General features: G+C 57.6%; 1 protein-coding gene across 29 annotated transcripts in view, besides 1 other annotated feature; it reads right to left on the bottom strand.

The window, feature by feature from the left end:
- The window catches only part of PRKCZ (protein kinase C zeta), a 136,892-nt gene that overhangs the window by 67,259 nt on the left and 57,354 nt on the right, over positions 1–12,279 (bottom strand). For 3 of the 29 annotated variants that reach the window (XM_047425348.1, XM_047425304.1, XM_047425340.1), the window contains exon 1: positions 6,320–6,483. The exons of the other annotated variants lie outside the window; for them this stretch is intronic. The gene's annotated coding sequence lies outside the window, so the exon portion shown is untranslated. Of the gene's footprint in view, positions 1–6,319; positions 6,484–12,279 lie in introns of those variants that run through there. 29 annotated transcript variants of the gene reach the window in all.
- Positions 5,590–5,639: an enhancer, noted in NCBI's record as "active region_46". NCBI's record gives its function as "activates an Ori minimal core promoter by ATAC-STARR-seq in GM12878 lymphoblastoid cells {active_cell/tissue: GM12878}" and the evidence as "EXISTENCE:reporter gene assay evidence [ECO:0000049][PMID:35858748]".

The raw sequence follows: 12,279 nt of genomic DNA, 5'->3' as shown, positions 1-12,279 counted from the left end.
TAATCCCAACTACTCAGGAGGCTCAGGCAGGAGAATCGCTTGAACCAGGGAGGCGGAGGTTGCAGTGCGCCCAGATCGGGCCACTGAACTCCACTCCAGCCTGGGTGACAGAGTGAGACTCCAAAAAAAAAAAAAAAAGAAATAATAGGCTAATCTCTCTCATAAATACAGTTGCAAAAACAACAAACAAAATAATAGCAAACTGAATCAAGCAAAATATAAAAAGGCGAACTCATCACAACCAAACGAGGCACACTACAGGAATGCCATCGGTCTACCATTAAGAGCCAATCCATAGAATTCATCGTATGAACAGAATAAAGGAGAAAAGTTCTGTCACATCAATAGATGAAGGAAAAAAAGCATCTGAAAAAATTCAGCACCATTCATATTAACAACTTTCAACTAGGAATAAAATAGAACCTCTTTAATTTGTTGGTGGGGATTTACGAAGGAAAAACAGTATTTCCGCAAACAGCACCCTTAATGGTGGAATTCTTAAAGCTTTTCCCTGAAATCAGGCACGAGAGGATGTGGCTGTCACCACTTCTGTCCCATACTGTTTTGGAAGGATCAACAGTGCCAGGGTAACAAGGCAACATCTGAAGGAAAGGCAGAAACAAACAGCCGGTCACTGACAAAATGGCAGCGCACAGAGAGGTTCCGGAGCAACCACAGACAAACTACGGGGACCAGGAGAGGCCAAGACAAATGAGTTAATCACACTTCTTTACACATTGCTATAAACAAAAAGATAAAAAAAAAAAAACTGTAAAAGTAATACGGCTTAAAACAGCATAAGCACTGAAATACCAGGGAATCATTTGAACAAAAAATGTGGATGACCGCTACACACAAGACTACAAAATATTATTGAAAGAATTTAAGGCCGGGTGCAGTGGCTTGCATCTGTAATCCCAGCACCTTAGGAGGCTGAGGCAGAAGGACCACTTGAGCCCAGGAGTTCAAGACCAGCCTGGGCAACATAGGGAGACCCTGTCTCTACAAAAAAATGCCAAAATAGCTGGGCATGGTGGTGCACACCTGTAGTCCCAGCTACTTGGGAGGCTGAGGTGGGAGGATTGCTTGAGCCCAGGAGGTCAAGGCTGCAGTGAGCCATGATCATGCCACTGCACTCCAGCCTGGGCAAGAGTGAGGTCCTGTCTGCCCCCCGCAACTCCCCTGCCAAAAAAACCCCAATCAAAGGCCTAAAGATATGTTCACGGATTGGAAACCTCAGTATTGTAAAGATGCTAATCTCCCATACTGATCAAGAAATCCAAATGCAATCCAAATGTCTTATGGAGATTTTGAAAGCAAATAAGCCAACTGTAAATGGCTTATTAACAAGCCCATGTGTATGGAAATGTAAAAAGCCAATAACCAAGATAACCTTGAAAACTAAAAACCCCAAATTGGAGACTCATAACACAAGTTACCAATGGTGATTATAAAGCAGAAGAAATCAGAACAGTACGACATGGGGGCAAAAAACAAAGGGGACAGATCAGTCCAGAAAGAGGCCCCACACACAGCCAGGACGCAAAAGCCCTAATTATAAAGTAAGCTTTTACTTTCTGTTCATCAGAAGACACCATCCATGGAGTGGAAGGCGAGCCGCGGAGTGACAGAAGCTGTTTGCAACACAAAAAATCAAAGCACTTGTCTCTAAAACACACACAGCCCCCAGGAACCAACAAAAAAGACGGACCCCCCAATGACATTGTTCTTTGACAGCCCAATTTTGAAATGGGGCAAAAGACTGGAACAGGCACCTTTAAAAGGAGGGTCCCCAATAACCCGGGAGCCTCGGAGAAGCAGCTCACCTCAGCCGTCGCGAGGCCACAGCCTAGTGCCTTTCAGATCTGCTGTGCTGGCGACAACGCAGGGCTCTGACAGTCCATGTGCTGGAAGGAGGTGCATCGGGAATTCCCACACGACCCAGAGTGACTGTGCCATCAACACAGATTCAGCCTTTGTCTCAGTTTCCCAGCGCGCAGCCCCTCTGACCCTAGGAATCCTGGAGTGCGGTAAGAGTGTCTTTTTGCATGCTAATGAGATGACGGGGAGCCGGGAGCCGGGACAGCTCCAGGATGCGGCTGGTCTTCAGCAGGACCAAGGAATGCCTAGCGGGTTGGAACTTTCCGTCCCACAGCCCACGGTCCAGAGAGGAGACAGGAGAGACTGAGGTAATCAGCAGTGGCTGGCTGTTGAATCAACCGTGCCTGTCACGAAGCCTCCACAAAAAGCCCTCAATGACATGGTCTGGAGAGTGTCCGAGTTGGTGAATATACCAAGGTGCTGGAGGGTGGCGTGCCTGGAGAGGGCACGGAAGCTCTGCACCCCCCATACCTCAGCCTCCCGTGCAGCTCCTCCGTGTGGCTGTCCTTTCTAATAAACGGGTACACTAAGCAAAGTGTTTTCCTGAGTTCCGGGAGCTATTCTAGCCCACCCGAGCCTCAGGAAGGGGTCACGGACACCCCCGATTCACAGCCAGTTGGTCAGAATCCAGGTTGTCACCTGGCACTTGCAGCTGGCTCTCAAGTAGGGGCAGGCTTGTGGGAATGAGCCCTTCATCTGCAGGGTCTGCGCTAACGTCAGGTAATTGATGTCAGAGCTGAATGGAAACACAGGACACCCAGCTGGCGCCAGAGTGGCTGTGGGTGCAGAAAACCCCACATAACTGGAGGCAGAAACACAGTGCAGAGTGCGACCTGGTGCGGCCACGCGAGGGAAACGTCTGTTTCCCGGAAACTCCACTCCTGGGTGTGCCCACATGAAAGATGCGCCACGGGCAACAGAAGGCGCTCGGATGTCTGTGGCCAAAAGCCGGGACCCCGGTGCCTCGCAAGATGAGGGTGGATACATAAGACGTGGAGAATTCAGCCAGCAGAGCAGCCCCGCAGTGGGGACGGACACGGCAGAACCGCACCCCACACCACGGGAAAGCCCCACACAGGGGCCCGACTGAGCGGCCACACCCAGGGTGGATGGCCCCGGATCCCAAGACAAAAGCTCGAAACAAGCAAAACTATCTGCAGGCACCAAGGCCGGGGACGGGTAGGTTACGCCTGGGGTCACCTCGGGGTGTGGGGGTGGCCCCGCGTCCAGAGGACAAGCTACACACGGATCAGCTATGTGACGCGGTGCAGTTTGCTTTGTAAAAACTCGTGGAGTTGAACGCTTCAGATTTCATGTTTTAGGGAGTTTTGTTTCAATTTTAAAAAGTCAAGAAAGAAAAAGAAATCAGAGAATGGAGGCACCCAGGCCGTAACATTCTTTCCATAAGAAAAGCTGAAACCCAACGGCAGGCGGCTCCACCTGCTGCATCTTAGCTTTTTCTTTTTCTTTTTCTTTTTTTTTTGAGACGGAGTCTCGCTCTGTCACCAGGCTGGAGTGCAGTGGCACGATCTCGGCCCACTGCCACCTCCACCTCCCGGGTTCAAGCGATTCTCCTGCCTCAGCCTCCCGAGCAGCTGGGACTACAGGTGTCCACCACCACACTCGGCTAATTTTTGTATTTTTAGTAGAGACTGGATTTCACCGTGTTAGCCAGGATGGTCTCAAACTCCTGACCTCGTGATCTACCCGCCTCGGCCTCCCAAAGTGCTGGGATTACAGGCGTGAGCCACTGCGCCCAGTCATCTTATCTTTTTCTTCAGCTTATTTTATTTGCTCTGTAAGCTTAACTTTTGTGAGCTGAACTCCAAAGTCAACCTGCTGTTTGATTATTTTTGTGACTTGTTTCAAATAAAACCTCTTCTAAGAATTAATGTCCACCATATTCCTTTTTTGTCCAACAAAATAAGTCATCTCTTCTGTTTCAAATGTTCCTTCCCTCATTGGACACTGTGCTTGGGCTACCTGTATTAACACAGATCCCTGGAGAGCACGTTCTCAACACACAAGACGAACCTGCCCTGCATCCGGGGTCCCTCCTTCCACGTCCTCCCAGGCCACGACGGAGCGTCCTCCTGGAGAAAAGCTGGGGTGGGAGGGTGGGGGGGTGCAGCCCTCTGCTGTTTTTATCTCCTGAGCATTCCGAACGCTTCCACAAACTTACGCAGCCGGCCATACCCTCACCCACGCGCCACACGCACCACACACACAACATGGCGCCCGCTCTCCCTCCCCCAGAGCCAGCCCCGTGGAGCCCTTGACCGGTGGCACCCAATCCCCAGGGCATGGATGCTGTGGGCTGGGCCCCCGCCCTCTCTACACTCCCACACCATCATCTCCCCTCCCTCAAACACATGGGCACTGCGGTCCCTTCTCCCTGCCCCAACACCAGTGCCTTGACCTCCCTCCTCCTTGGCCACACCACCCACCTGCCATCCCTGGAGTCACCCCCACAAGGACTGGACCACAGCCTCTGCCCCATGAGTCCTCTGTGCCCCAACTCTCACCCACCCCCCAGCATTCTCCACGGCAGCTAGGCTGCCATTGGCTCTCAGAGATACCACTACTTCGTGCATCATGAGGAAAGACAAAAAATGTTGCCAACTCAACTGGGACACAGACAGGCAGGCTGCACCCCCTTCCAGGATGTCAGGATAAGAGAAGTCCATCCCAGCTCACTCAAGGCCCTGGTCGCCTCTGACAAAGGGGCTATCGGATGCTGCCTCTGTGCCACTTCCGAGTTTCTGGCTGACACCCTGGTCCTCACCTGCTGGCTTCCACCTGCCCTGGGTCAGGAGCGAACTCGGGCAGAAAATATGAATGCCCCGGATGAGCCCCCCTCAAAGCCCAAGATGGGGAGACATCAGGTAGAAGCAGCAGGAGCACATACTTGGCGATCCACAGGCAGCCCACCGAAGAGAACGTCACAGTCACCACAAATCACTGCTGAAGGCGAGACCAGTGGGGAGGAAACGGGGCGGCTGCCTTTTTAAACCTTACGTTAAAACCTTACATTAAAAAACATACTCATGAATCGAGGTACTCGCTAGTCAGAACTGAGACCCTGGAGGGATCCCCCGGGGCCCTGACTGGTGCTGCAGGCCCTCAGGCAGTGCCCGGCTCCAGAGCAGGAGAGGCAGGCACCTGGGTGACCCGGCCAGCCTCGGCCAGCAGTGGGCAGGCCCTAGCCAAGCCACTGTCTTTCCTTCAGCTGATGACTGTAAGTCACAAATGTAAAGAAAATGGGGCCGGGCGCAGTGGCTCAAGCCTGTAATCCCAGCACTTTGGGAGGCCAAGGCAGGCGGATCGCCTGAGGTCAGGAGTTCGAGACCAGCCTGGCCAACACGGTGAAACCCCGCCTCTACCAAATATAGAAAAAAAATAGCCAGACATGGTGGCGAGCTCCTGTAGTCCCAGCTATTTGGGAGGCTGAGGCAGGAAAATCCCTTGAACCCAGGAGGTGGAGGTTACAGTGAGCCGAGATCACGCCACTGCACTCCAGCCTGGGCGACAAGAGCAAGACTCTGTCTCCAAAAAAAAAAAAAACCAACCAACCAACCAAACAAACAAAAAAACGGAACTGCAACTCCAGCAAGTTTCAAGGACCTTTTTCTTCTTCCTTTTTTGAGTACTGTGATGATTACAGGCATCCAGAGAAGGAGGAGGAAACGTGTGGGGTCCCATTCACCTCCGCTCCAAGCGGCGGCTGCACCCCACAGTCCCCCATGCCGGGACCTCAGCATGGGCCTCTGGGTTGGACTGAGGGGTCCTCAGCATGAAGCTGGCTGGTGTTCACGGGGCAGGGGTTCCAGGCTGACCCTCCGCCTGAGGCTCGTTCATCCTCATTGCAATGGAGCACGTCAGAGGTTCGCGGGCCGCCTCGCCGGCTGCTTCGGACAGAAGGTGCACTGTGCCGTTTGAGGCCTCTGTGTCACTGGGGCAGGGGCCTCAGCTTAACCCACATAAGGATCATGTCTACACATAAACGTCAAACACTGTGTTTTATGAGCAATTTAGGGGATTCTAAGCAAAGCCTGTTTTTTGCCTTCTAGGCAGACTCCTGGAACCCGCACCCTGTAACCCAGGCAGAGGTGAAGGAAGGAGAGGGGAAAAGCTCTGCTGGAAACCACATTCTGCAGCGATTTTCACTCAGTTTGGGAAACACTTGGAGTTTGGGAGACGTTTTACAGCAGATTCATGAAAATGACTTGTCCCGAGGAAACATCGCCTCGAAGACGACTAAGGTGAAAGGAAGGTGCCAACTGGGAGGCTGGCACACGGCACTGCCCTTCCCGGGTCTTCTGAAAGGAAGCTGTGGTCCCTTCCCCGACACCCGTCTCTCCCACATGGGTGAACATCCAGAAGCCTGGTGGTGGATGGACGGTCGGTCAGGAGGCCGGACCCACAAGTGCCTACGTACCTCCCTCCTGCACGTCCTGAGGCTGTAGGTCAAAGGGCAAGAAACAAGGGTGGAGCCAGGATGTGGGTGCTGTCCACACCAGGACAGAGGGTCTGGCTGGTGGGGAGTCGAGGGTGCGGGCTGGAGGGTGAGGGTCCTGAGTCCAGGCCGGCAGCAGCCCCGCCAGTTCCTCATCCAGACCAGCCCAGACTGGAGAACTCCAACAATGGCAGGCGGGGCGCAGCAGGCAGGGGACAGCTCCCAATGCCAGGTGACCCGGCAAGCAGGCTCCCTTCCTCCCCCTGCCACACACTCTTCCCTAACCCCAGCCCCTCCCTGTCCGCCTCTTGAGTCCTGACAACCAGCTTCTCTGGAGACACCCAGACCACCAAGGTGCACCCCTTGTTGCGTGATCCCCTCTGGCCCCCTCATCCTGCCCATCACTTCTCGGAGGCTCAGCCCCAGGCCTCCATGTTGCACCCCCACCCCGCCTGTCCCTGTCAACCTGGGACCCTCCCTGGCTGTGCCCCAGACCTTCACAGTTGCCGTGGGGTTCCCTCCCCGTCCCCTAAGTGGTCCAAAGACACCTTCTCTGCCTCTTTCTTTTCCCACAGCACCCTCCTGAGGGCTCAGTAACCTCAGCTCAGCCCGAGTTAGGCCCAACACGCACAGCCAGCCCCACAGCTCCCAGCACCCACCTCGGCTCCTCCTCGCCTTCCCTGCCGCAATACCCATGGGTGCAGCAGGCCCAACTTTCCTCCTGCCTTCCATCCTGAGCCCTTACCTCGCCATGCTGTGTGAACTGGCCTGGGTCCCGCCCTCAGGGCGGGCACGGGGTAGGGTGGGGGAGCTCAGGATGGCAGGCCTCGCACCCGAGGGGAAGGCCGCAGGGACGTGTGCAAGCTTCCAGTCCCTCACCTTCCGGCTCGGTCTCTCAGGAACTACACCGTCCACCAGCCCCACCCTGGCCCCACAGAGTCCACTGTCACCAGCCCCTACAGGGACTCTACTGTCCACCAGCCCTGCCCCCCACAGGGACTCCACTGTCACCAGCCCCACCCCAGCCCCCTTCACTCCGCTGCTCCCAGCTCTCTCAGGACCCAGCCCACCCCACCCACACTCACAGGGTTTCAGGCAGAGGCCCACAGTCACCAAGGCCGATCCAAACCCCCATTCCCTGGGCCAGCGATGGTGTGAGGGTGGACAAGTGACCCAAGGGTGTCGAGGGCCCAGTGGACTCAGGGGACTCCAGGGACTTGGGGGACCTTCGTACCAGAGGAGTCTCTGTTTCCCTCTTCGGGCCCAGTGGACTCAATGGACTTGGGGGACTCCGGAGATTCAGGGGACCCTGGTACCAGAGGAGTCTCTGTTTCCCCCATGAAGCTGCGACCCAGGAGCCACGGGGCTGCCACGGGACCAGGAGCCCCCTGACCGGGGATGAAGCCTGAACGGAGGAAGCCAGTGCCGGAGCTGCAGAGAGGGAAGAAAGGTCCTGCCTGCTCTGATCACGCCCGGGGCCCCCGCTGGAGGCAGATTCAGCCCTGGCCGTTCTGTTTCTCACCTCTGGGATCCTCTTGGTTGGGACCCATTGGTTTTAGGTCCTTGGCTGCCCCCAGGGAGGGCCCCGGATTCAGCCCTGGCCGTTCTGTGTCTCACCTCTGGGATCCTCTTGGTTGGGACCCATTGGTTTTAGGTCCTTGGCTGCCCCCAGGGAGGGCCCCGGATTCAGCCCTGGCCGTTCTGTGTCTCACCTCTGGGATCCTCTTGGTTGGGACCCATTGGTTTTAGGTCCTTGGCTGCCCCCAGGGAGGGCCCCGATGAAATGGCCCATGCTGGCCGGCTCCTCCGCTTGCCCAGACTGGGAGACACTGGACATCCCTGGAGACGTCTCCCTCAACACCCCAGCCAATGGCCAGGTCTGGCAATTCTGCTACTGGACATTTCTGGAGTCCACCCCACTGCCCTGGCCCTCTCTCGCCCGGCTCCAGGATGACGGCTTTCCCCGGCGGCTCCCACCACCGACACCACAAAATCTGAGCGACGTGGCACGGCCCACAGGCCCATGGCCTGGACCTCACCTGCCTCTACAGGCTGGGCTGTACAATGGGGAGAATGAGAGCCCGACCCCGTAAATGAGGTGGACCTAGCACCGCCTTCCGGACACTGCAGTGGGCGTGAGCTGCCGCAACCCCGTGTCCTCACCACGGCCGGGACTCTCCATGTCCTATGGACTCTCGCTGAAGCCACTCGGCCCCGTGTGACCCCCTCCGCCCACAGCCGGACCCACACCTGGCTGCATCTGCTCAACCGTCCAAGGGAGCTCTGTCTAGGGTTGCAATCCACATGTTTAATATTCACGACCACACCTGATCTCAGGACAATTCAGTGAGGAGGACGGAGCAGGTATCGTGTGCACCACTTTACAGATGAGAAAACTGAGGCCACCAAGGTCAAGGGTCACCCCCCAGAGACAAGGGAAGGTGGCTCCCAGGTGCCCCCCGACCATCGCCCCTGCGCGTCCGGCAGTGCCTCCATCTGGGTGCCCTCTGCTGCCCTCACTCCAGGAATCCTTCCAGCAGAGGACAGAAACCTCCAATGCCAAGCATCCGGAAGCACCCATGGTCAGCTGTGCAAAACCCAGACAGCCCCACATGCAAGTCCCGGGACCCAAGACTGTGTCACCTTCCGTGGCATACGGGACTTTGCAGACGATGAAGTGAAGGACGTGGGGATGGGGAGATGTTCCTGGATGATCTGGGTGGGCCCACGTCATTGCGGGGTCCTCACAAGAGGGATGGGGGGGCGGCTGTATCAGAGGCGGTGACGTGAGACGGAGGCAGAGGCTGGGGTGACTCAGGGCTGCACCAAGGGGCAGGCGGCTTCAGACGCCGGAGAAGGCGGGAAACGGGGTCTCCCTGGAGCCCCCAGAAAGAACCCACCCAGCTGGTGCCTTGACTAAATTTGGCCCAGTGAGCTCCATCTGCACTCGCACCCTCCAGACCGCTGAGCTAACAAATGCGTGTTGCTTTAAGCCCCCCAGTGGCGGCCACTGTTACAGCGGCCGCAGGAAGTTCATCCACCTCCATCTGCCCAGGCAAGACGGACAGGCAGGGGGTGGTGACCAGGGAGCACATCAGACAGCCTCGCTCACAGCCCTGGGGACTCGGGGCCTGCTTCTCCCACGGCCACCAGGCCAACTACTCAAGAGTCCTGGGGACATGGCTGGAGAGAGAGGGGCTGCCGTCAGCTGTGCAAGCAGGAGGCTGGCGATGTCTCCACTGTCACGCACATGGCCGCGCGAGGCCAACCTCCTCCTCGCAGCCAGCCCAGGACAGACCTGGACGGCACCCACTCATGAGAGGACACAGCGGTGGCGCCTCGGAGCCGCCACGGCCCCACGCACCCAGGCTGTGCCTCTCACTCACCCAGAGGGGATGAGGACGTGGCCTGGCCTCCAGGAGCCACGGAGGTCAATGCATGGCTGCAGGGACAAGGGGCCACGCCCATCAGCATGGAGAAGGCCAGGCAGGCTTCCTGGAGGAGGTGAGCAGGACAGAACAGGTGAGCGGGCAGGGGCGAAGAGGCCGGGGTTCTGCAGGAGAGGACGGCCTCACCACGCGCTTGGACCAGCGCCCAGAAGGATCATGGCCCCACCCAGAGATCACACGGGTACTCGAGTGCGGCATTTACCTCGATGCCTTTTCTCTGAAGGTCTATTGAGAGTGCGGGCCCTGGGCTACCTGACTTCTCTACCCCCAGAACAGGCATCCAACCACCCCGACTGGCCCAGGCCTAAGGCTGGCAGCACCCCACGGAGGCAGGCTCCCTTGACACTGCCGGGGTTGGGGGGCTCCCTTGACACTGTCTGGGGGCTCCCTTGACACTGCCAGGGGCTCCCTTGACACTGCCGGGGTTGGGGGGCTCCCGACACTGCCCTGGGGGGAATCCCTGGACACTGCCGGGGTGTTGGGGGCTCCCTCGACACTGCCCTGGGGGGAATCCCTGGACGCTGTTGGGGTGTTGGGGGCTCCCGACACTGCCCTGGGGGAAATCCCTGGATGCTGCTGGGTGTTGGGGGCTCCCTCGACACTGCCGAAGGGCCGGAGAGGCACAGGCCGGAGAGGCACAGCCCGGGTAGAGGGGATTTCGGCAGTCCTGAGAACCCAAGGTCAGTGTTAAAAGAAGGCCTGCACCTCGCAGGGCTCATCCTCCCTCCCTGTGTTTCCTCCAGGGGTTCGGTGTCTGAGGGTGATCAGCCTTTCACCCAGTCCCCTACTTCTAGGAACTGATCCCAAAAAAGCCCCAGCACAAAAGTAAAATGGGAGGTATCTGCACACGTTTTCCCACCGCAGCTCCATCTGTAGTTGAAAAAGATGGGACGGAGCCCCCACATGCATCAGTCAGCCCAGCCCAACGGGCACGGGAGTGTGTGCGGCCGTGGAAGGAGAGAGGACGCATCCACTGAGGGGTCTCAGGACACGTGACGTGCGGGAAAAAAGCAGGTCTGGAGCAGGACCTGCCTCAGGAGAGGGAGGACGCAATCCCGCCTCAGTGTTGCTTGGCCAGGGAGAGGGGCGGCCTCCGCACAGGAGCCCACACAGCCACGGAAGGCAGCCGGCTGTTGGTGCAGGCAGCACTCACTGTTACACGAATCACGAGACAGAGAACTGCACACCAGTGCTCCGCACCCCGGTCACAGACGCAGAACCCCGAGGAAACACGGGGGAGGCAGAGCAGGCCCTGCGAGGCACAGGCCTTCTTTTAACTTTGATCTCAAAAGCATGAACTCTCTTAAACAACTGAGACAGCCGAGCCGGAGAAACCGCAATCCTGGCTGCGTTTGGTGAAGTCAAGTGACTCCTGTGCTAACGTTTTCTTCTGCTTTGGCCTCTGGAGACACGTGCAGAGGTCCTCGCCCACCGGAGGGGCTTGCTGAGAGTCACCTGGCCTGGTGACACGTGTGGAGGGGCTTGCTGAAGAGTCGCCTGGCCTGGTGACACGTGTGGAGGTCCTCGCCCACCAGAGGGGCCTGCTGAAGAGTCACCTGGCCTGGTGACACGTGTGGAGGTCCTCGCCCACCAGAGGGGCTTGCTGAGAGTTACCTGGCCTGGTGACACGCATGGAGGTCCTCGCCCACCGGAGGGGCTTGCTGAGAGTTACCTGGCCTGGTGACACACGTGGAGGTCCTCGCCCACCAGAGGGGCTTGCTGAGAGTTACCTGGCCTGGTGACACGTGTGGAGGTCCTCGCCCACTGGAGGGGCTTGCTGAGAGTTACCTGGCCTGGTGACACGTGTGGAGGTCCTCGCCCACCAGAGGGGCTTGCTGAGAGTTACCTGGCCTGGTGACACGTGTGGAGGTCCTCGCCCACTGGAGGGGCTTGCTGAGAGTCGCCTGGCCTGGCGACACGTGTGGAGGTCCTCGCCCACTAGAGGGGCTTGCTGAGAGTCACAGGTATCGGCTGGAGTGCAGGTTGCCAGGAGCCAGGCAGGGTGTGCACGAGGCCTCACTATGTAATTCTCTCTACTTCTGTCAGTTTGGCATTTTTCCTAATAAAAACTTTTCAAGTACCAAGCCGCTCAGTTCTGCCTTTTGATGTTTGGATGCCTTGGCTGGAGCTCCACCTCCCTTCCCTGGCTCTGGGTCCGGCCCTGTCCTTCCCTGGCTCTAGGGGGCTTTGTGTCCACAAAATGTCAGGCTGCTCCATCAGCCACAGGGGGCTGGGGGGACACCCCATCGAAGTCCTGGGCGAGGCCCTCATCTCCCAACAATCCTGAGGACCTGTCTGGCATGGCCAGGAGACGTGGAAGGGCCACATGCAAATGAGGTGGCACCTCCCACACAGGGCACAAACGCAGGAGCCCCCTCATCCTCAGGGGGTGCCACTCGTGGTCCCAGCATGTGTGTGTGGGGGGGTGGGGCCTCATCCAGGCCTGGTGGGCAGCCCCTCCCACCTGAGACCTGAGAATAATTCTCATCCGAC

Source organism: Homo sapiens, chromosome 1 (assembly GCF_000001405.40).
Source record: "Homo sapiens chromosome 1, GRCh38.p14 Primary Assembly".
NCBI lineage: Eukaryota > Metazoa > Chordata > Mammalia > Primates > Hominidae > Homo > Homo sapiens.
The sequence above is the reverse complement of the archived record's forward strand: the minus strand, read 5'-3'. Positions and strand labels throughout refer to the sequence as shown.